This window comes from Homo sapiens, chromosome 6, assembly GCF_000001405.40.
Source record: "Homo sapiens chromosome 6, GRCh38.p14 Primary Assembly".
Classification (NCBI taxonomy): domain Eukaryota; kingdom Metazoa; phylum Chordata; class Mammalia; order Primates; family Hominidae; genus Homo; species Homo sapiens.
The window spans coordinates 96,100,060-96,127,362 of NC_000006.12; the positions used below are offsets into that span (position 1 = coordinate 96,100,060).

At 35.3% G+C, this 27,303-nt stretch overlaps 1 protein-coding gene across 6 annotated transcripts in view; it reads left to right on the forward strand.

Annotated features, from left to right (window-relative positions):
• Nucleotides 1-27,303, forward strand: part of FUT9 (fucosyltransferase 9) — a 199,639-nt gene that overhangs the window by 84,086 nt on the left and 88,250 nt on the right. For 2 of the 6 annotated variants that reach the window (XM_047418089.1, XM_017010190.2), the window contains 2 exons: nt 13,980-14,068; nt 20,946-21,062. The gene's annotated coding sequence lies outside the window, so the exon portion shown is untranslated. Of the gene's footprint in view, nt 1-220; nt 10,740-13,979; nt 14,069-20,945; nt 21,063-27,303 lie in introns of those variants that run through there. The other 4 variants (XM_047418088.1, NM_006581.4, XM_011535385.3 and 1 more) reach the window with 3 other exon arrangements.

Below are 27,303 nucleotides of genomic sequence, written 5' to 3' on the forward strand. Positions count from 1 at the left end.
TTAAGATTTACATGGAAAATAACATACCCAAGGGAAATCAGAAGGAACATTTGCAATAGCAATGGTCTTACTAGAGGTTGACCATGATTTTCATTTCACACCATTTCTTAAAATTATCAAAAAGTGTCCTCAAAGGAATTATTACTTGGAATTTAACACACACACACACCAACACACACACACACACACACACACACACACACACACACACACACACATATAATATTTAAAATGCTGTTCTAGGCTCCAAAGTTACAACATAAATAAAACAGTCAATGTCCTCAAAAATCTCACAATCTAATGAGAAAACAGAAATTTGAGAATTCATTCATTATAGTACAAGGTAAAGTAAAGGAAATACTTTGATGTCAATATGAAATTATCTATGGGAGTACAGAGGATTTAAAGATGAAACTTTATAAAGTGAGAAAGATTTCACTTTTGTCTTAGATGATTAGAAGAATTTCACATGTTTTAATAGAGATATTAATCAAAAGCCAAAATATGGACAAGAACTCTGGAGATAGCTAAAGAAATTTACAATTTTGGGAAATGGAGAACAGAGCTGTATGACTGAGGTATGGTGAGGAGTGATGATCGATAAGCCAAGAAGTGAAGACGCAGGTTAGAATTTGAAGAACCCCCTTTCTTTTCCATGTTAAGTTGTCAGGTAGTGAGGTACTACTGAACAGTTTGACCTTTGGAATGGGTTGAGTTAAACCTGAGTGTCTATGTTTTAGAAAGTTATCATTTGTGACAACACACCGTTGTAAAATCTGTAGTTTTCCTAATATATGTGAAGATACTCTTGGCTGTGACAATGTATTAAAAGGAAGGGAAAGATACATTAAAAGTTAGAATTAGGACTTAGTGTTTGAATGAAAATGGAAGTTTAGGAGGCATCAGGATTAAAGACGGCATCAAGATTTCTACTTAGTACATTGCATACATGTGTAATCAAGTGTGAATTATTAAACAAAACTAGATACTTCATATCTCGTTATGTAACTACTACTTAATATTTTTAACCTAAGTGTTCTTAATTCTGCAAAGAATTCTAAATTTAAAATGCCTAAGTAATCTTTTTCAGTTCATGCAAATATATATGTGTGGGCATGTTTGTGTGGGTGTCTTGTTTTACTAAAATATCTTCAAGAATAATGTTTGAGGGAAAAAAATATTAAGAACATAAAAATGGGCCAGGTGCGGTGGCTCATGCCCATAATCCCAGCACTTTGGGAGGCCAAGGTGGGTGGATCACCTGAGGTCAGGAGTTCAAGACCAGCCTGGCCAACATGATGAAACCCCATCTCTACTAAAAATACAAAAACTTAGCCAGATGTGTTGTGGGGGCTGGGGGGTGCCTGTAATCCCAGCTACTCAGGAGGCTGAGGCAGGAGAATCACCTGAACCTGGGAGGTGAAGGCTGCAGTGAGCTGAGATGGCACTACTGCACTCCAGCCTGGGCAAACAAGAGTGAAACTGTCTTAAAAAAAAAAGAACATAAAAATGTACATTTTACCCTCATGTTCAATTATTTCATTAAGGAGGTCACAAGTTTCCTCCTTGAGGAGGCGGGGAAATCTTCATTCTTTTACATACTCCAATTCTGGAGACAAGATTTCATTATGTTGCCCAGGCTGGAGTGCAGTGGTGCAATCACAGCTCACTGCAACCTTGACCTCTTGGGCTCCAGCTATCCTCCCATCTCAGCCTCCTCAGTAGCTGGAATGACAGGTATGCACCACCACGCCCAGCTATTTTTTTTTTTTTTTTACTAGAGACAAGGTCTTGCTATGCTGCACAGGCTCATATTCTCCCTTTCTACCTGGTCAATGTCACCAGGAATTTATATCATTTTATCCTATGATTATTAGAATATGTTTATATATGAAGATATATTTAATAGTTACTTATTTCATTTGATATCACATATGGATATGTATGCACGTGTGTGTAAAAATATGTGTGTAAAGTCTCAAAAAATAATCAGAGGTTATTTCAATAAAACACAATAAAACTTTCCTGATTTGTCATGACAATTGTATGCAGATATAAACTTTCTAATATCACATCTTTATATGGAAGTAGGTAACAATGTTATTGAGAGATCGTTGTTTATTTCTTAAAAATTATGTGCGCTAATGTAAATGTTCATATGTAGATGTAGGTATTTAAAAGATGGCATATATTATAAACATATTTATTACAATGACAAGTAAGAACAATATATCAGAAATTTTACATATAAATACAGCACTAAATTTACCTGAGTTTAAAAAAAAAAGATTATTAGGTCATTGCCATTAATTTAAAATAATAATTATGTTTTGTTTTTACTGAGATAATTTTCTAATTCTTACTTCCTTTTCCTTTTATTTGAGTCCTTGGATCTGTAATTGCCTTGAATTTTTTTGGCCAATAAAATTTTCATGTCAGGTGCTTCTCTAAGAGGTGTTATAAATTTTTTCTCTCAAAGCTGACCCAAATGGGCCATGAGTTCACTTTTGAGACACATTTTGCTACAATACAGTCATCTTGTCTTAGAGTTATATGTGTAAACAGCCTTAAGCCTATAACTTTACTTAAAATCACATATGATTCATTGGATTTGAAGTTCAAGCTTCTTAATTTTCTTTTTTTAATCAGCTTTTTCAGGTTGAAAAATCTTAAGCTCCAGATGTAGTTGAGTTTGATACCCACATCAAATATCATGTAGAAATTGCGTGTTTTACCCCTGTATACCAAATTTGAAAAGAAAACATCTTCCCATTATACCAGAGAGAATAGTTTAAACTTAGTTTCCTCTCATGCATCATGCTACACTGGAATGTGTGACATGCTGTGCCAATAGACATTACATATGGAAACAGGAGAGAACTTTGAAGAGCTGACAGAAGGCTAGAGTGACTAAAGCAGACTGTACAAAGCCAAGAGAGTGGTAGGCAGGTCCAGACTTCCTTGGTCTTGGGCTATGGGAAAATAGCAGTCAGAAATAGACTTTCAGGACTTCAGCATCAGCTAAGTGAATAAGGAATGGCCAAATGCTTGAATGGGGAGTAGGGGAGGAGACCAGTGCATATTTCAACAATATTATCATGTGACAGCATTATTTAAGATGATTTTAAGTTCAGTCAGGGCAAATACACACACACAAACATATACGCGCGTGTGTGTATATGCATATGTATGTATTTTCTAGACACTTTCCTTCTTCCTCTTTGTCCTAAATTTCCATCTCTCAGGTGAACAGAATTCTTATTCTGCCTTCTTTATATTCAAGAACTCAACACTACAGCATCCCACCGTTACCTCAACTACTCTCCTTACCCAAATTAAAGTTAAATCTATGAGGAGTGTGTTAATTTCCTAAGGCTGCCATAATAAATAACCACAAACTGGGTGGCTTCAAACAACAAACATTTATTCTTTCACAATTCTGGAGGCTAGAAGTCCAAACTGAAGGTGTCGATAGTGTCAGGCTTTCTCCGATGGCTCCAAAAAGAATCATTTCTTGCTCCCTCTATCTTCTGGTGGTTGCTAGCAAGTTTCTTGGTTTGTGGCAGCTTAACTACAATCTCTGTTTCTTCTTTAATAGACTTCTTTCTGTGAGTCTGTGTGTCTCCAAAGCTCTCTCATATCACCAGTCATTGGATTTAGGGCCTAACCCTGTCCAGTGTGATTTTCATCTTTTTCTTTCCATCTTTTCTTTATTGACGTATATTTGATGGATGAAAATTGTATAAATAAGATATACAGCATGCTTTTGATATACATATACATAGTAAAATAATTACTATAATAAAGTTAATTGGTGGATCCATCTTAACTTGATTGCACTGGCAAATGATGTATTTCCCAATAAGGTCCCATTCACAGGTACCAGGGGTTAAGACTTCAACATGTCTTTTAGGGGTGCCATAATTCAATGCACAACAGGCGGCTAATCTCAGCTAAGTGTTTAGAAGGACAACCACATTATCTGATTAAATCAATTTACATAAAAGTCAGAATAACACTGCCTTTCTAAAGAAGTTTATAACACAAATGTACTGAATAATGTACACACTGTTAAGGGTAAGAGCATTCCTAGTAACTGCTTTCTATCCAGAGCTTTCAACTTTCCACCTTCAGTAAACTCAAGGCCAAGGTTATATTTCTCTACCCATTTGCCAGAGTAGATCAGCTACGAAATGAAAAGGATACTTAAGCAGAAAATTTAGGTTGTGTATGTTATTTCCTTTTTCTTTAGTAATGTTTTCACTTTTAGAGTAAATATTTTAATATTATTTGACCAAATTATATGAAAAATGGCTTGATACTTTATTTTAATTTTCCCATGTTAAGATGAATTTAGATCTGCATATTTGCCATACATGGTCCATATATGAAGGATAGATATAAAATATATGAAGGACATTGATGAAAAATGTTGGCAGTAGAAAACTACCCAAGTGTAAATTATTTTTTTTGTTTTGTTTGTTTGTTTGAGACGGAGTCTCGCCCTGTCGCCCAGGCTGGAGTGCAGTGGTGTGATCTCGGCTCACCGCAATCTCCGCTTTCCAGGTTCATGCCATTCTCCTGCCTCAGCCTCCCGAGTAGCTGGGATTACAGGCGCCTGCCATCACGCCCGGCACATTTTTTGTGTTTTCAGTAGAGACGGAGTTTCACCATCTTGCCCAGGCTGATCTTGAATTCCTGACCTCGTGATCTACCCGCCTCAGCCTCCCAAAGTGCTGGGATTACAGGCATGAGCCACCGCGCCTGGCCACACAAGTGTAAATTATTTTGTGTAGTTTTCTACACAAAATAGAAGGCAGGTACAGATTTTTTGGCAGGTACAGATTTTATTTTTTCCAAAATACATTCTAAGTGTTTATTAGAAGAACAAATAAGAACAAAGATAAAGAGTCATCTCGAGGCTTCGTATCAGGCAATCTGGGTTCTTCCGTGCTTACTTAGAGTCAGATTTATTCATAGTGGTGGAATGCTCACGCCTCTAAGGAATAAGTTCAGAAGAATGTGGTACTTTTATTTAGGCTATTAAAATCCTGAAATTCAAGTTTTAAAATGATTCAAAAGGAGATAAATCTGTTTTAAAACAAAATGCATTTCTTTGTATGCAGTGAGTCAGAGTACTGCTTTGTGGTAAATTGCCTTATGTTCTGAACAATATAATGTATTTCATTTTTAATAACTCAGTTTATTTGTAAACCATGTATTATTAACACATAGCTCAAACTATTGTATTTAATATAGAAATTGCAGTTAAAATTGGAGTGGACTCTTTTTCTTTCCCAGAACATTCATTGTTTGAGGAGAATTTAACAAGGCATTTTGATTTTTAAAAATCCCTCATCAGTGTAAGCACACCTTTAAAATAAAAATCATATTATTCTAAATTCAATTGCCATAGCATAAAATAGCTATTTAATATTTTTGCTAGGACTAGTATGTCTTCTTTGTTGATTACAAAATACATACTATGCTAAATTTTATCATTTGATTATTGATTTCCCAAGAGCCTTTTGTCTAAATGAAAAGCTGTGTCTTAAGTTTTCTAATTAAAATTTATAGTGATAGAATTATTTTTCATGCAGTTAATTTATACTCAAGAAGAGTTTTAACAGTTATTTAAATAATGATAAGTTTCTATAGTTTTTTTATTCAGTTGTTTTGAACACTCTGGAGCTGATCTGTTATTTTTCACAGCATGATTCCCAAACATCTGCAACAAATTCCTCTAAAAATTAGGAACATTGTTAGATATGGAAATTCAGGATCTTACCCGTACCTATTATCAGCATCTCTGGAAATATACTTCATAAATATCTGTTTCTAATAAGCCATTAGATGATTCTTATGCCTATTAAATTTTAAGAACCCAGTGTTAAAGAGAACAAACCAGTGTATCCTAACTTTTCTGACATTAGTGATCTCTAGACTTTGTAGTACATTGGGATAACCTGTTCAATGAATGTCAGCTTCTTGTAGAAGAAGTCATCCAGGGGTCAGGAAAGAGAGAAAGCCTGAACTGCCTCTTACTACCCCTAGAGTTCTGGAGTTCTGGGAGCCTGACTGAAGATAGCAGGCAGCATGTATGGAGCTATGTCAATGAGAATGAGCCCAAGATAAATCATCACAATCCATCAACCCTTCCTTCCTTCCTTCCTTCCTTCCTTCCTTCATCTTCTTAATGCTTCCTCTATTTTTGTCAGAAGAATTGGGAGGGAGGGTTATTGGGAGAAGAGCAACAGCATATCAAAACCCTGCTTTATCTTATCTTGACGTCATTTAACACTCTTAAAAATATGTGCTTTTAAAAGGAAGTATTCAATTTTTTTCTTGTTATTGCCATAGACAAAAAATTAATAAAGGGGTATGAAGTGTCACCAACTGTCTGACCCTGGCCTACTTTCCCAATCCCAGTTCCAAGAGGCATGTACTTCTTGGTGGGTGTGACTGTTATACAATCTTTGGCTGACTTTACCTCTTATCTCCTATCTTCAGATCCTTCTTCCTGGGAGGATTTTAACATGTAAGATGAGGAATTAAAACACCATCTGAATAAGTATGAAGTGCATTGCAGTCTTTGGAAGCAACATGCAGAACTTAACCCAAACCTTATTCTATCCATCAGAAGCTCCCAGGCTACTGACTGGTCTGTCTCTCCCAGGCCTGTTACAAGAAAAGTCATGGCTTATCATTCATCGGTTTAATTATTCCAAGACCCCCTTAGAGCTAGAGAAATGAAGAGATGGAGTGCTTAAACTTGATTGATTTGATTGAAAGACACAAAGTATCAAACCATTTTTCAGACATATGTCTCAGTGAAATTAAAAAATAAAAAAATTCATTTTGGTTTAAACCAGAATTTGGTAAACTACAGCACTTTATGTATGTCTGCCTTCATATTACAAAAGCAGAGTGAAGCTGATGCAACATAAATTGTATAATATATGCGTACCTATAGGACATCTTTGAATTTGCCTCCTGGCCTACAATGCCTAAAATGTTTACCATATGGATCTCTAGGGCATAGCTTTGCTAACCTCTGGTCTAAATGAAAACATTCATGATTTATTTTCTCCAGCATCTGAAGGCAAAATATGCATCCACCGTATTCCATAAAAAATTATTCATACATGTCTTAAAACTTGCATATTTTATTTTCTAACCCCCAGCATAAGACAACCATAAATGTGTAGGAACAACAGCCTTAGCCCCAACAACCACAACAGCACCTAACATAATAGGGATTCCATAAATGTTTTGATTAAATAAGTCTTTAAAAATATATGTACATTCTGCATTTTATTTACGATATACTGTCTCTCTATTTTAGAACAAATTTCATTTTCTCCAATCTTTGAATAAAATAGATGCTTTAGGAAGAATGTACAAGGAGATTTCTAGTACTGCTTAAAGCTCAGGAGAAGAAGCTCAAGAATTTGTCCTGAAGTGTGCAAGTTTTAAAAGAACAAAGCAGCTTTCCCTTCCCCGAAATACATGTTGAAAATATTTCTATCGATAAAGTATATGTATAAATTTGGACAAATCTATGTCAAACATCTATTATAACCATTACTAATCTGTATTCCAAGCATAAGTGTATTTTAAGTTCTTAAGACATTGATGTTTGTCAATGGTCCTAAGTGTTACTAATTCTGTCGCCTCCAGCAACTCAGCATGTAGAACAGACTATATCATTCAAGGCTAGCCTTCTACAGAACATCCAACCCTGTTCAACTCACGAGGATCTACATCCTATTCACTTTAACTATAGAGTCAAGACAGATCATTCAAGTGAGCTAAGTGAGAGAGAAGGAATAAGAAGAAAGCACAACCCTTGAAAGATTTCAGATAATGAAAATAAACAAGAGCTGTAGAAGTAAGTACAAATCATGCACGTCTCTCATGGCCACTTTTTTTTTTTTTTTGTCAGATATTGCAAAGCTATGGACCTGGGGAGATGACCTTTAAATCATCTAGCTCAGAATTTGTTCCACAATAAAAAGCTTAAGAAATGTCCATTATTTCCCTCCCTTCTTCTCATTCATTCTCACTTGGCTTTGTTCTTTTCAGTCTAGGATTCTTATTCATATTTCTACCTAATGTAAAGAGCCAACCAACATTTTTTGGACTGTGAGGGGAAAATTTTCTTTTCCATGTACATTTATGAAAAAGAAATTATTTAGAGCCAAATCATCCCATGTTGTATGCAAGAGGCAGACACATCACACCAAGAATGAGACTCTGGAATCAATCTGTCTGGGTTCCAGTCCAGCTGTACCACTTACAAGCTGAATGACCTTGGACAAATTGCTTAACCTCTCTGTGCATCACATTTCTCATCTCTAAAACTGGAATAGTACTACTTCATAAGCTCGTTGACAGGACTGAATGAGAACATATATGTATAGAACCCTTAAAATTGTGCCTGTATATAGTGAACACTCTTTTATCACTACGTGTTATTATTATTAGCGTTAATGAGAATCAAGCTCTCAGCATGACCCAGGGGTTCTCCAGCTCACCTTCACTGCCTTGTGCATGTCTTCCATTACACTCTCTACCACTCTGTTCCACAGAGGCCAATATGATATTAGTCCTAAAATGACATTATCCTTGTTATGCTTATCTTTGCTCATGCTGAAGTGCCTTGTCGTTATTCAGTATTCACTTTGCATAACCTATTTTCCATTAAGCTTCCACCTTGCAAAATAGAATGCCACTACATTGTACCCGAAGCCAGACACACACACACCGTTCATTTGTACACACACAGTTCATTTGTACACACACAGTTCATTTCTCTTTTTCCCCTTCCACTTCTAGATTGTGAAGATTTCAAGGGCAGAGAGAGAGTGTTAGGAACCCTTATGGCCATAACCCCTACCAACTCTCTGTTACATAGAAGACATTTAGAAAATGTATGTTGAATTAAAAAAAGCTTAAAGACCAGTCATAAAATTTTGATTTCATAAAATTCTACTTAAAGTATAGCCACAGGATTTGGCTCCATGACCTCTTTTGGCAGCAATGCTCACTTATTATCATAAACAGCACATAGTACTTGTCATTATTTTTCAAAATTCAATGTCCTTTAATGTCATCTGGTCAGCTGAATTAAGAAGCTTGCTTCTATTAATGGAATTCAGTTTTCAATATATCTGAGGTGTTTCTAACAACACCATTCAGAGTTCTCTGAAGCTTCTTTTTAAATAAATAATGCTCCATTTGGTCATTTCTTTGTTCTTTTATATTTATAGATTGTATAGTGTTTTTCTTAATCATTTGCACTAACTTTAATTCAACAGCAACTGAAAACAATTATATAAAACTAGTGTGTCTCCATATTCTTCATCTTTGGTGAATTTTTCCCCAAATTTACTAAAGTATCTTGCATAAAGATCTATATTTTATTATTTAAACTGACCCTTCTCTACAAAAAAATTACTCAACAATGATTCAAAAATGATGACTCAATGATGCATTTGTGTTTGTGAAATGACCATACTAATGAATTGGATTTAATACTTTATTCAAATATATCAAATGTATTGCAAATCCAAACACTTATTTCCACCAAACCTAACAACCACCATTGTCTCTCAATTCAAGGACAGTAATAGCCTTTGAACTGGCTACTGCTTCCAGGCTTGCCCCTCTATTGTCAACAGAACAGTTGAAGTGATCATTTAAAATTGTATTCAGATCATGCTAGTTCCAAGCCAAAACCTTCTCGTATCCATTGCACTATAAAGTCTAACTCTTTACAATGGCCTTTGAGGCCCATCAAGACCTGCTGCTGCCTGGCTGTCTTACCCTTCCCCTCACACCCAGAGCACTATGGGTGTGAGGGGAACTATAGCTACAGGTATACTGGGGTGTTTTTCTTTTTTGTTTGAACATGCAGTGCTTGTTACTGTCGTGGGACTTTGCACTTTGTGTCTACTCTCCTTGTAATGCTAGATCTTGAATATAAGGCTGAGTCATTGTCTTCAACTCATACATGACCTCCTTCATGAAATCTTCCTTTTCTGGCTGCTTCTCTTCAGTGGGCCTTTCCATCAGGTGCTGGCAACTCTCAGTCAGTTCTTTCTCAGCTCTGTCTCTTCTAATGGCCTTGCTAATTCAGCCTGCCCTTGATCTTGGTGCTCAGATTCCTCAGAGTCTCTACTACTTTTCTCTTCTGACATCTGGTTAAAGCTGCGAGCCTCATAAACGTTTTTGGCTGAGCCATTTTGCTCATAGAAGGCCCATTTATCCCCCTCAACTTATTATCCATATTGCATGATAGCTAAAGGAAACTTGGGATTGCAAAGTGAATCTGTCATGCCACAGGGCCTCCTTGACTGCTACTTGGGATCCACATGTTAGCTTGGGATTACTCAGCACAGTAATGTCCTCCAAAACTTGAAAGCAAAAACCCTGAGCATCCCCTCAACTTAATTAAGAATTTCAAAAGATACATCCCCTAGAGGATTGGCCTCGACAAGCTGGGAAGAAAAAACAAGAGCGGTGGCAGCCACTTTTCTCTACCATTGAGCTCTTTCTCTCCACCTATTCTGGCATTTCTCAAAAGAATGCCTGAAGGCTTTTTTCCTATTGTGCATTTTTTAAGGGTATCATTCTGTTGCCAAGGCTGGAGTGCAGTGGCATGATCATCTATAACCTCAAACTCCTGGGCTCAAGCAATCTTCCCACATCAGCTTCCTGAGTAGCTGGGACTACAGGTATGCACAAATGTGCCTATTTATTTATTTATTTATTTATTTTTTGTAGAAACAGGGTCTAATTATGTTAGCCAAACTGGTCTTGAACTCCTGCCCTTAAGAGGTCCTCCTGCCTGGGCCTCCCAAAGTACTGGGATTACAGGCATGAGCGACTGTGCTTGGCCTGTTCTTTCTACATGATTTGAAACTCCTTTATACAAAATTCCATGCAAACCCAGTCATTTATATTTGTTGGCAAACATTGAGATGAAAAGTAAAAACACTTAGTGAATCATCTTAATGTTTCATCTTTAAGTTACTAAGCATCTGGGTCTTGGCAAAACATCCAAATAATAAACTCACCCATCAAGCCTGGTCTTGATATAGAGGAAGAAACTGAAGGGCTTTCTAAAGACTGATGTTAAACTATACATTAAAATAATGCTTTAAATAACAGAAATTGAGTGTCTCTTTCCCACCTCTACCCCACGGCAGGCAGATGCCTTATCATTGTAGGCAGAAAGACATGTAGAAAAGCAAAAGAGAAAAACGTACTATCATTATTTGACTGGCTTGGACACAAATATAGGGAATGGAGAAAATGATTTTCTCCCTATACATAATAGAAAAAGGGAGATAGAGATAATAAAAACTAAGTTCAAATAAATCATTATCAACAAAAGTAATCAAAAGAGTAGCTCAATTACTTAAGTGTGATTTATTCAGCATGCTGAGCCATTAAATTATAACCATGATTTGGGAAACACACACACACACACACACACACACACACACACACACACACACAAATCTGAGTTACCAAATAGATAAAAGAACTCAGGCCACTTCCTGGCCCTCATTATTTGCTCTCATTCTAGAAATAATTCTAAATCCTTGATTTTTCTGACTTCTCAGCCAAGGTCTTTTTGAAAGCACCGAATCAGATGTTGGATGGTAAAAACAAAAACAAGAAAACACTGGTACAATGAATTCAAATGTTGTGACAGCAAATAGTAATATATATATGTATATATGACAGATGTTTGGGAGCCAATATATATGGATGTCTATGCCTCTTCTCTAGTTTTTATTTAGTGATTATTTTGATCTTTTATGTGCAGAATTATAACCAATACACTGCATACTTTATATGCAATATTGTGTTTGTGGTTTTACTCATTTAACAATCCTAAGACAGCTATACACAGTTTCAACAAAGAAATTCATTTACTCTATAAAGCATTTTATTATTTTTTCTAATTGGGACTTCTAATAGTATTGAAAGTAGATAGTTAAGCAGAATAGTCTTACAAACAACATCCGGAAGCCATGTGCAAGTGAAGATTGTAATAAGAAAGAGGAGACACTTTGAAGTCAGGTTTGGATTTGACCCACGGCTACCAATACCTCCCAGCTTCTTAATATGTACCAGTTATCTGAGTTATCAGAACCTTTTAAAATGAGGAAACTAAAACCTACCTTACAATAATGCTTTCATAATTATATGACAATCACACACACCCACAAAAACACTAAACAAATGTTACAAAATATAGACAAATTTCTTCATTTACAATGTCTTATGCATTTGAGAAAAAGAACAATTAGGTGATATTTGACTTTTTAAAGACAAGACAGATCCATTTCTTCATACTTGTATTATCTTTAAATGTGTTTGAATCCAATATCAAAATATAAGGGTGAAAAGGTACTAAATTCAGTGGAAAATTAAATTATTTTTCTTTCAAGCATAGTCCAAGGCTATGTAGAAATCCACAAAGAAATCAGATTGAATTTTGTTTTAAAATCTACTGCTTTAGGAAAGAAAAAAAATGCAAGTGTTTGAGGGACATAAAATCAGAACATAACGTTGTTTGTGTGTGTGCGCAAGCGTGTGTGCATGGGTGTATGTAATGAGAACAAGATGCTTAACAAGTATTTTCGGTTAGTTCTAAGTGTAAGAAGCCCCTTGGGTCTGTCCTATAGCAAAAATGCATTTTTTTGACGGGATAAGCTTATGTAACATACTTCTGGTGGCATTATCTTAAAGAGAAAACTGAATCTGCCCTTTATAATACTTTAAGTTATTCCATAGTTTAAAGATATTTGTTCTTGATTGGGCAAAACATCCAAATAATAGCATTTACCTCTGTTTATATTAATCATGTATGTTGGCTGACACACATCACCATTAAAATGACAGATGTTTAGGCAAATCATCGAATTATTTGATCTTTATATTTCTAAGCATTCAGATAGTTGTATACATCCAGATGATTTAGCAACTTTTTTTGTTTGTTTTTTTGTGACATGGGCACAATTTATTCTGTAAATGGGAAACTTTAAATATATTTGATTATCGAGATATCTTATACTCACTTTCTTAGAGTTTCAACTATAACCTAGAACATTCATTCTTTTTAATGATATTTCCCTTATTATATATTGTAACCATTTAACTATTCAATAACTTTTTTTTGAGACAGAGTCTTGCTCTGTCACTGAGGCTGGAGTGCAGTGGTGTGATCTCGGATCATTGCAACTTCCATTTCCGAGGTTCAAGCGATTCTCCTGCCTCAGCCTCCCCAGTAGCTGGAATTACAAGTGCCTGCTACCACACCCAGCTAATTTTTGTATTTTTAGTAGAGACGGGGTTTCACCATGTTGGCCAAGCTGGTCTTGAACTCCTGACCTCAAGTGATTCACCCGTCTCGGCCTCCCAAAGTGCTGGGAGTACAGGCATGAGACATTGCGCCCGACCATCAATAACATTTTTGTAAAATTTAACAGAAATCGGGCTGGGTGCGGTGGCTCACGCCTGTAATCCCAGCACTTTGGGAGGCCGAGGCGGGCGGATCACGTCAGGAGATCAAGACCATCCTGGCTAACACGGTGAAACCCCACCTCTACTAAAAATACAAAAAAAATTAGCCGGGCGTGGTGGCGGGCGCCTGTAGTCCCAGCTACTCAGGAGGCTGAGGCCGGAGAATGTCGTGAACCAGGGAGGCGGTGCTTGCAGTAAGCCGAGATCATGCCACTGCACTCCAGCCTGGGCCACAGAGCGAGACTCCATCTCAAAAAAAAAAAAAAAAAATTTAACAGAAATCACAAATAGATATCAACAAAGAACACAATAATACAGAAAGATTTATGTTTTTAGCATGCATTATTTCTTTTGGATTTCTTTTGGTTATCTAGCTACATATAGAGTACATCCAGTGCATTTAACTAACATACTACTTTATTTCTCTTTCTCATCAGATTTAGAATGTAATAACTCAAGGATTTGATAATACAGTGAAGTAGTATAACAACTGTCTACGTGCTTCCCATGATATGTTCTCTATATTGTAAGTATATATTTACTTTCTCAATCTAGCTTGATTGTGGGAGAAATGTGTTCACTTAGAACTTATAGATGATTTATATTGTTTCAGAAAATTTTGAACTAAAACTCATCCAAGTTACAGAATAATTTCAGAAGGTTAGCTTCTATGAGGAGATCTTTTATAAACTTAGTTTTAACATTCTATCAAAGTTAAAGTTAAAAATAATTTTCTGTCATGGTAGGTAGGATAATACATCCATCATGTCTAATCATATTTTAAAATAAATCTTACAGTTAATAATCTTAAAATTTCTATATTCTTTTGTTTCCTAGAAAAAAGTAAAAAAAATTAGACATGGAAAATTTTATGTTCTCAATATAATTTGCAATCTAATTTTGAATTTTGGTCAATTTCTTTTTATATTAGTTATCTTTTGAAAATGGGTTTTAATTTGGGGTAGATAATGCCTGTACCAATAAATCATTCTTACATATGAATATAAGAATATATTTACTATATATATTCATATATGTAATTTATTTAATAAGTTAAATAAAAAAAGAAAAGTAGTCTTTGTACAGATATGAACCTCTTACTGTTCATTTCACATGATTAAAAAATAAGGAAGGAGGTAGAATTCTGGGATACTGTGCTTTGTTTTTGAGTTAAGAAATACTACAAAGCAATAAGTGTTACTCATGTCAATGAGAAAGAAATAAAACAGCCCAATCCCTTTTCCTTGGATGAAAGCAAGCTATGGACTGGAGCCCATCATGAATCAGTAGTGTCCCTACAATTTAAGGCATGTTTAGGGTGTCAGGAGATGCTGTTCCCTAACAACACCTAATACCGTCAGACCTAGAATCGCTTCTCAAGCCTTACTCTCTATTCTCTCCAGCACTTGTTTTGCTGAAGCTCCTGTCTGAGAATATAAAGCTGTCAGAGAATTGCAGGTGGTGGTGGATAGGTTATTAACATCCCTGTTTCAGAACTCTGAATGCATTGTGACACAAAATATGATTTAATACATATTTTATAGCAGTGCTATCTAATAAAACTATAATGTGAACTGCATATGTTATTTAAATTTTTCTCATGGCCACATTTTTTAAAAAGTAAAAATAAGCAGGTGAAATGAGTCTTAATGATATATTTTATTTATTTAGCCCTGTACATTCCAAATATAGTTATTTTAACATATGACTAATGTAAAGAAAAGAATGAGACAATTTGCATTCTTTTTTTCTCACTAAGTCCTTGAAATCCAGTGTGTACTTATAGCACATCTCAATTCAGATACTAAAGTTTTGTTGAATATACTTGATCTATACTTAGACTTCATAAAATTTACAGTTGGAAAAGTAGATTCACAAACCCAAATTGTCCTACAAACATTTAAAAGTGTTCCAATAACTAAATCAAGTGTCAGTTTTTAAATTTAAATTGATAATCATCTCATCAATGACACTAGCTGTATTTCAAGTGCTCAGCTGTCTCATGTGGCTGGTAGTTTCCATACTGGAAACTCTGCTCCAGGTGACCGCTGATATAATGCTTCGGTTCTGCTACCTAATGAATTTTGAAGGCCAACTTCAGACCACATCAAAGGAGCACATGACTTTAAAATTTCAATGACAGAAAAAGTCAAACCCTAAACTTATTACTTAAAATGGATTTTTACAGAACCCCATGTTTATGAGAAATTATAGAGAAGAAAATATACCAAATGTGTACTTCTAAGCTATATACATGTTGGAATTTGGGGGCTTTTTGTTTGCTTCCATGTACTTGCTTTGTTGTAACTAAAGGAATTTGCTGATCACAGCCCTCCTCATTACAATGAGTAAATCAATAGAAAAAAAATCTAACATTTAAAAAAATTGTTCCATCAAACACATTCTTAAAAGAATGAAAATATAGGCATCAGACTTGTAAATCATGTATCTGATAAAAGATTTGTATCCATAATATATAAAAAACTCTTAAAACGTAATAAGAAAGTAAATCTAATTTTCCTGGTAAAATATCTGAGCTTTACCAAAGAAGATGTATGGATGACTAATAAGAATATGAGAAGATGTTCACTAAGGAGATACAAATGAAAGCCACAGTAAGATGCCAGAACATACCTGTTAAAAATGAATAAATGAATTAAAAATCTAACAATATCAAATATTCATAAGCATGCAGAGCCACAGAGACTGTCATTCATTACTTTCATTACTGTTGGCAATTCAAAATGGTACAGTCACTTTGGAATGTACAAGTTTCCTATGAAGTTAAATGCTTACTTAATATATGATCCAGTGATCCCATTCATAAGTATTTACCCAAGTGAATTGAAAAACATTTTTGACACAAAAAAACAATATGGGAATATTTACAGAAAATTTGATTTCAATTGCCAAAATGTGGAAATAACTAATATGTTGTCTTCAGCTGGTAAATGAATGAACAGACTGTGGTAAATCTATAAAGGGGAATACTATTCAAATATTTTTAAAAGGAAAGTATTGATTTATGCATATCATGGATGAACGTTTTAGTGCATCTTGCTAAGTGAAAGAAGGGAAGCCCAAATGACTGCATATTTAAGATATATAATTCAATGTATCTTAAATTCTGAAAAAGCCAAAACATAGAGATGGGAAGCAGATCAGTGGTTGCCCAAGTTAGAGATATATTGAGTTGGAGTTATAAGAGGGCTGACTACAAAATCATTGATTACATGAGGAAATTTTAAAGGGGGGTGGAACTGTCCGTGGTGCTGAAAAAATTACTGTGCTCATCAAAACCCATAGAACTGTACAACACAATGAGTAAATTCTGCAGCATGCACATTAAAAAAAGAAAGAAAGAAAACAAATAGGATGTATTATCCCAAAATGGGGTGGAAACAGTGACAAGTGAACCTAACCATCTTACAAATGTAATATATAAACTTACTGAAGGTGATGCAGTCAAAGGATCTAGCCTATATTTTGGAAAACAGTATTTTGAAAGGACAAAATCTGCAAAGAATGAGGCTAACTCTAAAAAGAACTATACATAGACATTGTATTTTAGTTGATTTTTTTCAAAGGAGTGCAGGTTAGCAATTATGAAAGTACTTTGCATGTATATTAGGGTGGAATGCATAAGTAAATAAATTATAGATATTGGGAGATAGGTTTCACATTGCTAGAGAAAGAAGTTATAATCAGCAAGGAGAGATGGCTAAAATTAACCTTGCGTTGCTAGATGAGAGATGTAGATATTAATTTGTGAATCTATTTTTATTTTAAAATACATAGATACAGAAATGGGTCTACACACATAACATTTATTAGCTCTATCTACTGAAAAGCTCTAGAAGCAGTGATACCACATTAGCAATTAGCATGCCTCATGCCCAAATTTTAGTTTCATGCTCAGTTTAGAGGTTTCTGTATATACATCATAATGCTTCAATCTTAGAGTGAGCATGGAATGTAGGAAATTCAAATAGAATTCTTTATTTAAACACAAGAAAAGTCTCTGAGAATTTAAGTGACTTGCCTAGGATCAGCAGTTTGTAAAGGATGGAGCATCTACATAGAACAATCTTACTTCATTCTTAATCTTAACTTGTACCACATCAAGAAGTCTACACGATATGGAAATATTCTTATTTGTTAAATTATTTGTTTTCAATTTCCAGAAATAATCAAGCTCTTTCTCTTAATTTAAATAAAATTCTGGCAAATTTTATATCATTAAAAAACTATTATTCACATTTAAATTCAAAATTTTTACCTGAAATGTCTGTTTCCTGTTGAGCTTCAAAGTCCCATCTAGAGGCCAGGCATGGTGGCTCACTCCTGTAATCCCATCACATTGGGAGGCTCAGGCAAGCAAATCACTTGAGGTCAAGAGTTCATGACCAGCCTGGCCAACACAATGAAAACCCATCTCTACTGAAAATACAAAAATCAGCTGGTGTGGTGGTGCACACCTGTAGTCCCAGCTACTGGGAAGGCTGAGGCAGGAGAATCGCTTGAGCATGGGAGTTGGAGGTTGCAGTGAGCCAAGATTGCACCACTGCAGTCCAGCCTGGGCAAGAGAGTAAGAGTCTGTCTCAAAAAAAAAAAAAAAAAAAGTCCTACTGGACTGGGAAATCATTATTGCTAATTTATTTCTGTTATATTGGACACACATATGCTTTCACTTTAAGGAAATCCTATGCAAGAACCAAAAAAAAAAGAACTACAAAATATAGTCATGCACTGCATAACATTGCAGGCAATGATTGACCACATGTACATCAGTGGTCCCATTAGATTATAATAGAGCTAAACAATTCTTATCTCCTAATAACTTTGTAGCCATCAGAACTTAGTAGCACACAACTCACATGTTTGTGATGATGCTGGTGTAAACAAACTTATTGCACTTCCAGTTGTATAAAAGTGTAGTACATACTGTACAATTACATAAGGTGCATAACAATGATAATAAACAATTATGTTATAGTTTATGTATTTACTATATTTTATCATTATTTAGAGTGTACTTCTACTAATTTAAAAAACTTAATTATTAAACAGCCTCAGACAGGTCTTTCAGGAGGTATTCCAGAAGAAGGGATTGTTATCATAGGAGATGACAGGTCCATGCACGTTATTGCCCCTGAAGACCTCCCAGTGAGACAAGATATGGAGGTAGAAGACAGTGATATTGATGATCTTCACCCTGTGTAGACCTAGGCTAAGGTGTGGGTTTGTATCTTAGTTTTTACAAATTTAAAAGGTAAAATAAAAAACAAAAATATTTAAAAATAGGAAAAAAGCTTATAGAATAAGGATTAAAGAAAGAAATTATTTTGTACAGCTATACAATGTGTTTGTGTTTTAAGCTGTGTTATTATGAAAAAACTCAAAGACTTAAAAAATATTTTTTAAGTCTATAAAGTAAAAAAGTTACAATAAGCTAATATTAAATTACTGAAGACAGAAAAACCTTTTTATAGGTTTAATATAGCATTTGTACAGTGTTTATAAAGTCTACCGTAGTGTACAGTAATGTCCTAGGCTTTCACATCCACTCACCACTCACTCACTGACTCACCCAGTGCAACTTCCAGTCCTGCAAGCTCCATTCATGGTAAGTGCTTTATACAGGTGTACGATTTTTTATCTTGTATACAGTATTTTTACTGTACCTTTTCTATGTTTAGATATACAAATACCATTGTGTTAAAATTTCCTAAAGCATTCAGTATAGTAACATGCTATAAGTTTGTAGCCTAGAAACAATAGCCTAAGTGTGTAGCAGGCAATACCATCTAGGTTTGTGTAAGTCCACTCTCTGATGTTTGCACAACAATGAAATCACCTAACATCACATTTCTCAGAACATATCTCCATCTTTAAGTGACACATGACTGTATATAAAGTGTTTTTTACTTCAAAATAATTATGTCTCACAAAAGCATTCATCATGTATTTTCTTAAATAACAATGTTCCCTGCTGCAATTTTGTTAGATTTATACATAGTATCTCAGAGGAAATAAAGTCATTTTATAAAGCCAAGCTAACCTGCCATCCTTTCCTTTAATACCTTCATCACTATGCCCATCTGCTGCAATTTTTATAAGTAAGTGTGATCTCATAATCCACACAGTTTTAATATGAAGAAAATTTATAGCATACTCTTACTAATCAATAAATCAAGCTTTCTCCCTATTGCTTTCCAATCACAATGATGACTTCTAAGGGAGCTTATTTTATTAGGTAATTTGAAAATACTTTACTAGGCTATTTGAGGAACTTCTTGAATATGAGGGGGTTATTAACAATAAAAGAAGATACACCCAATAGAGAAACAATTTCTATACCTTCAAATAATAGTATAGTAGGTATAGGAGGCAAATGCAAAATCAGTGTGATCCATTATATATTTAACCCTCATTTGTTATCTGTTACAATACATAAATATGTTTTGAAAAGAATATTATCAAATCTATTTGAATTTTCTACCATATTTAATGTTCAGAATTCTCATTATTTTATTTTTTTCTGATTTAAAGTCCTTCTACCATCGTAGAAGTCTATTTTATTTGTTTTGTTTGCTTGTTTTGTTTTTGTTTAAAAGACTATTCAGAAGAGTTCCTTTTTATAAGACCCACTTTTTCTTTTTTCTTTCTTTTTTTTTTTTTTTTTTTGAGATGGAGTCTCTCTGTGTTGCCCAGACTGGAGTGCAGTGGTGCGATCTCGGCCCAATGCAAACTCCGCCTCCTGGGTTCACGCCATTCTCCTGCCTCAGCACCCCCAGTAGCTGGGACTACAGGCGTCCGCCACCACGCCCAGCTAATTTTTTTTTAATTTTTTTTTTAATTTTAGTAGAGACGGGGTTTCACCATGTTAGCTAGGATGGTCTCGATCTCCTGACCTCGTGATCCGCCCGCCTCGGCCTCCCAAAGTGATGGGATTACAGGCGTGAACCACCGTGCCTGGGCAAGACCACCTTTTTTTTTTTTTTTTTTTTTTTTTTTTTCTGTACTAAGACTTTCTACTATTCTGCCTGGTGAATAACAGGTACTTAAAATATTTGCAGTTTTGACTTCTAAACAAAATAACATTAAGCACATTTTTTTTTTCAGTTAATTTTAGGAGTAATTGGGGTAGCCTGGAAGAAATCACTTATGGGAGATGCTCCAGAGCTCCACTGTTTGTGATGACCATTCAATATGCAACATAAAATGAGTCTTGGTGGTGTCTCAAATCTTTCTCCTCCACAAGGAGAAGTAGATGGAGTATAGATGGATGCACGGGTGGATAGAGTAGGACAAATAGATGGAAAAATAGTTGGATTTTTCTTACACATACCGTCCAATATCTTCCATACCATGGACAGTATTTTATCCTTACTTGTTTCTAGGACCTAAGGAACATAGTTGGTAATACAGAATCCTGTGGAACTCCAATAATTTCAGAGAAAATTGAGGATACAGTATTTTTACCCTCTGCACCTGGAAGAACTTACTGCTTTATTTTGGTAACTAAAAAATTAACATTAATTTACTTTTGCCTTGATAGTAGGGTCAAAATCAATGTCTATGGAAGACTACCTATAATAGTGACTACTTTAAATTCTTTTCTCTTCTTATCCCTTATAATGATATATCCTTACTTTCAACATGCAGATATAAGCAGTTCTAAGTCTATGCTTCAAATTACATGCTCTGGGGAAAGAATTAGTAAACAAAGATGTCAAGAAAATCTGAATTTATTATTTTCAAATTGTTCTTAAGTTTTATTTTTAGAGACTATCATTTCCTTATAGCTACTCTACAAAGAGACAAGAAAACACTTCACAGTGAACTAGCCCCCCTAGGAAAAACACTGTGGAGTGAATATTTATGTTATCAAGTAGTTAGAATAAGTAGAGGCAGATAAAAATACCCTAAACTTTTATTTAAAACCATGCATATTAACCCCGTGGGCTTTCTTGCTATCCTTATAAAGTCAATTATCGCTCTATAGGTTTTTGATTTTTAATTTCAGTTTATTTTAAACTATATTGTATCTCTTCATATTAAAAAATTAATCTTCTCTTTTACTTTGTATGTTCCACCATTCCTTTTTAATTCATGTCACTTTTGTACTCTAAACACAGTAGGATGCTAATTTAAAATTTGTGACCTTAAATTCATGTCATTTAAATCCCCCAAATGAATATAATGATTCATCCACTTTTGTGTTTGAAATATAATCTGCCTTAAAATAAATCTCTATGTTGCTAAAGGGTAAAACCTAGTATATGCCTCTTGATTTTATGAGAGCACAAGATCAAATCTTCATTATATTTAGAGCTTACACTGAAGATGGAAAGCTGCTTTATATGATAAAGTGAGAGAAACTTATCAGTAAGTCTTCAAGCAGGAGAAGATGAGATGCGCTGGGTAGCCAAGAGAATTTTAGTAAAGTGATGGTCTGTGTTCAATATTAGCTTGTGCACTTTGCTATGATATAACAGCTCTCCATCTAAAACTTCTGCTAACATTGCATGAGCCTTATATGAAATTTTAGGGGAAATTAAAGAGACTCAGTTTCACATCCAGGTCAAAGCAATCAGAGAAAAAGGAACATTTATGGTAGTTAACACATGAATAGAATTTGGAAATCTCTAGTGCAGAAGTCCAGGACCCTAAGTAATCAGGAGTGTCTAGAACCCCTTTAATTCTCAGAAATCTTATGGGGCATTGGAATTTCCAATACAATATTGGATGGGTGGCTGGAACTCTCAAATGCAGAAACTACACTTTAGGTTACTTTTCTTATTACACAAACATTAAAGCAATATTTAAAAGGTCAATCCAGTCAGAATCCAACCACCACAGAAATTCACAGAATTATTTGCCTATGTTTCCTTTTATTTCTAATCCGTATGTACACATAATTTTACATGGTATAGTTATAATTTTGTTTTGATTTTGTAATCAGTGTCAAATCATAAACATTTTAACATGTTCATTTTTTGTAGGTGCCCTTATAATGACTATTTGCCTAACCCTTTTCTTATCTTGGGTATTGGATTGTACTTGAGTTTTCATATATATATAAATAACACTTCAATTTAAATATTTGTCAAATATTTTGCTTTCATCAAATAAAAAATGGAAATAAAAACAAGCTTATGGCCGGGTACGGTGGCTCACGCCTGTAATTCCAGCACTTTGGGAGGCCGAGGCCGGTGGATCACGAGGTCAGGAGATCGAGACCATCCTGCCTAACACGGTGAAACCCCGTCTCTACTAAAAATACAAAAAAATAGCTGGGCGTGGCTAGCTGGGCATGGTGGCGGGCGCCTGTAGTCCCAGCCACTCGGGAGGCTGAGGCAGAAGAATGGCGTGAACCCAGAAGGGGGAGCTTGCAGTGAGCCGAGATCGCGCCAATCCGCTCCAGCCTAGGAGACAGCCGCGAGACTCAGTCTCAAAAAAAAAAAAAAAAAAAAAAAAAAAAAAAAAAAAAAGCTTATATTGTAGAGCTATTGTGAGGATTAAATGCAAAAAAATGCATAACAAAGATTATGCATAGTGTCAATTTGGACCAATTTCTAGAATCTAATTATTGACCAAAGGATATGACTATATATTCTTTCTGAGGCTGTTGAACGAATTACTAACTTCCAGAGTGTTCAGCTGGCAAAATAATAAAAACTGGCTGTCAATATCTTAAACAAAAAAACCCAATGCTGAAGTGATCACTTATTTTAAAAAGGGCAAAATATAATTGTCAGGCACAGTCTCTCAGAGCAGGGAAGACTGCTAATATTATAGAGGGCTTTGAGGAAGAGTGTAATTCAGTTACTGGTTGACTTCCAGAGGCGTAAGTGTATTGACGTCATTTGTAGAACTATGGTTCTTCAGGTGAGAATTCCTTTGATTAATCAACTTCCAGAAGTGTGTTCTTTGAAGTGAGTCTTTTTCTGATTAACTGACTTTAGGAAGTTAGGGTTATAACTATTTGGTTGACTTGCAAATGCATGTTCACTGAGAGGCAGAGCCATTAATTCTTCAACTTTGTGTAAAATCAGTTCTGATAGTTTCTGGAACTGTCATTGATTAAGCAGTTTTAAAACCACTTCTGGTGACTACTTGCTACCATAGCTACAGAAAAATATCAATCATTTCCTAGGAGCGTGGGGACATTTTATTCTCCAGCTATAGTTGAAATAACTTATGAGAAAAAAATCACAGAGGAAATGATGGAAAATGCCAAGGGCTTTTCATGAGGAAGAGGGGGAAATAACTAGAAACTTGTTTTTAATGCAATCTTCTGCTTGAGAAATACTGTGTCAGTATCCAACAGTGAAACAGATGTGGAAAGGTAGTACCCATTGAAAAGAGGAGTAGAACTAGGATGGAAAGGTAAGCACATTTTATGTAAGTTAGTTAAATTGCTAAAGAAAACTTATTTCCTATTTTATTGTCAAGAAATTATATAATTACACATTTTGTGGGATCACAAATGTCTGCTTATTAAACATTTTAGTTCATAAGGCTGCTTTTCTTTTTTTCTTTTTTCTTTTTTTTTTTTTTTTGAGACAGAGTTTGGCTCTGTCGCCCAGGCTGGAGTGCAGTGGCACAATCTCAGCTCACTGCAAGCTCCGCCTCCCGGGTTCACACCATTCTCCTGCCTCAGTCTCCTGAGTAGCTGGAACTAAAGGCGCCTGCCACCACGACCGGCTAATTTTTCTATTTTTAGTAGAGACAGGGTTTCACCAAGTTAGCCAGGATGGTCTCGATCCTCTGACCTTGTGATCAGCCCACCTCGGCCTCCCAAAGTGCTGGGATTACAGGCGTGAGCCACTGTGCCTGACCAAGGCTGCTTTTCTCTAAATCCATGCTTACATAGATTAGTGATTATCTTTAATTTTTATTTTTGTTTTTTTGTTTCATTTTTTTGCATTTTCTCTCTCTTTAATATAAATTGTGTTCTTACTTGCTTATATTCCATTCTAGAATGGCTTCTAGTCTCCTCCCAGAAGTCTGACCCTGCCAGTTCTAAATTTTTTTCTGACTCTCATCCTCCTGAATTTTGCTCTCCTCCATAGTCAACAATTTTGTACGCCTCCTTTTCTTTTTTTAAATGACATTCAGTTTCTGAAATATTGGCTTCTCTCATTATACTTCCACCCCCATTCTTCCACCATGCAAAAAATAACTCTTCCTCTCTCTTCTTTTGGCTAAACTTTCCAAAAAGATGTATAATTTTTTATTTTTGAAAAATGTGTTAGTGACATTCGTCCTGGTTAACTTATTCCAAATAATGTCTCTATCTTGCATTCTGTCTTACTGTTCTACAACCTATTCCAGCACCATCAACAGATGACTCATTTCAGCCTGACCTCATGAAAAGAGCTTGCATTCTAGGTTCAGACAGAATAACAAGAGACTCCTATTTTTACCATTTGCTGGCTGATGTAATCTTACATGAGTAATTTAAGCTATAGGGGTCTCACCTCCTTTATCTGTAAAATAGGAATTCTAGTACATGGGATGGTAATGATGATGTAAAGAAATCATGTATAGAAAACATATAAATAGCATACTCTTTCTACCCAGGAGGAGCTACATAATTGTTAAATCTTGTGTTTATTTCTTATTATCTCTTACTATGTTGACTGTTCTTCCAAATTGCATAACCAAAAGATCCATGAGGCCTAATGTCAAAAGCTCAATGTCTTTGTCGTCTTATGAGGCAAGTCAGTTTATCTTATCTTGTTCATTTAGGGATAAGAATAATTCCTTCTCTACCTTAATTACATTGTGGCAATGGCAAATTGAAATGTGATATTGATTACAGAAGTACTTAATCATTATAATAACAATAACTGTTAGCATTTTAAAATCTGGTATTGTCTATGTGTAAGTCACTGTGTCGGCACTTAATAAATGTAAGCTCAGTCTTTACAATTATCTAACAGGGATTAATATTATTTCTAATGTTTATGTGAGGAAACTACAGCTCGGCAAGATGAAGTCGTTGGGTCAAGGATACATAGGTAGGAGGGAACAGGGCTAGAATTGAAGTCTTCTGAACCTCCACCTGCACCCTCAGAGCCCCATGCAACAGTGAATAATCAAATGCATTCAGTTTCCTTTCATTAAAAATGCTACTTGGCCACTGCTTGAACCATGATCCATTACTACCCAGCTCATTTTCAAAGGATCTTGTTAACTCTCCTAAAAGCATTTTAGAGCTAGATCCTGCCTTCGTTTATTTTCATTATAGCTGCTTTCTTTTCTATGTCATTAATTCATGCTTCTCTTTTGTAATTTTACTGTCAGGTTCTCCACCAAGTGCTCTAGGGAATTAAAAACACATGCACACAATATTTAAGCTTTTCAGCGAGTGAAGGTTGACCTCAATTCCTGTTTTTCCTCCCTCTTTGTGCTGTCTTCAGGGTTGATATGCCTCCCTCCTCTTCTACCCCCAATAGTGCTTAAGCCTCTCTCATGTCGGCGCAGGTTAAAACTCGTCCACAGCCTCTGTATGTTTCATTAGTCTGTTTTACATTGCTGTAAAGGACTACCTGAGATAGGGTAATTGATGAAGAAAAGAAATTTATGGTACGGCAGGCTGTACAAGAACCATGGCACCAGTATCTGCTCAGCTTCTGGTGAGGTCTCAGGAAGCTTTTATTCATGGAGGAAGGCAAGGAGAGCCAGTGTGTCACATGGCAAAACAGGGAGCAAGCAAGAAGAAAGGGTGCTGGGCTGTTTTAAACAACCAGCTCTAGAGCAAGAAGTCACACATTACTGCCAGGAAGGCACCAAACAGTTCATGAGAGATCTGCCCCCATAACCAAAACACCTCCCTTCAGGCCCCGCCTCCAACAAGATGTCATTCTTTGCTTCCCTAAAGTTCTTAGGTCTTCAAAGCACTCACTCAACAAAGCAGAAAACTATTTATACCATAGTTTTGCTATTCTGTAGATCCAGGACATATTGCAAATTATCAATTACATGCAATGAGTTGTTAGACTTCAGTGCATTTTAAGGCAAAGGATTCTCTGCCTCTGCGTCAGACTAAGAGATTGAGTTGGTCTTTATATACACAGGTTTGTAAATTCAAACTACACTTTAATTCATGTTATTTACTATTATAAACATACTTATTTCACCTAAATACTTTCAATGGAGGTAGAGGCAATATCATTTCTGTATTCTTTAACTTCCCTGTGGAGATTATAGCATGGCCAGGCAGTGAATGAGAAATATAAAGTGATGATTAAAATGGAAATGAGCCATCTGTAATAATATTAAATAATTGAGCAGAAAATTTCAATCTAAGTGTCAAGGCTTATCAACCAAAATAATTCATGGAAAACTATTATTAAGAATGGTTTCAGGTTATTATTTGTCTGAGGATTAATAATTTCTTTTGTTAAAAACTACTGTTTTTTTAAACATTTATTGGAGGTCCAGGGGTACACGTGCAGGTTTGTTAGATAGGTAAATTGCATGTCTCAGGGGTTTGATGGACAGATTATTTCTTTACCTAAGTAATAAGCAGAGTATCCAATAGGTAGTTTTTCAATCCTCACCCTCCTCCTATCTTCCACCCTCAAGTAGGCCCCAGTGGCTGGCTTTTGTTCCCTTCTTTGTGTACATGTGTACTCAGTGTTTAGCTCCCACTTATAAGTAAGAATACATGATACTTAGTTTCTTGTTTTTGCATTAGTTTCTTAGGACAATAGCTTTCAATTCCATCCATGTTGCTGCGAAGTA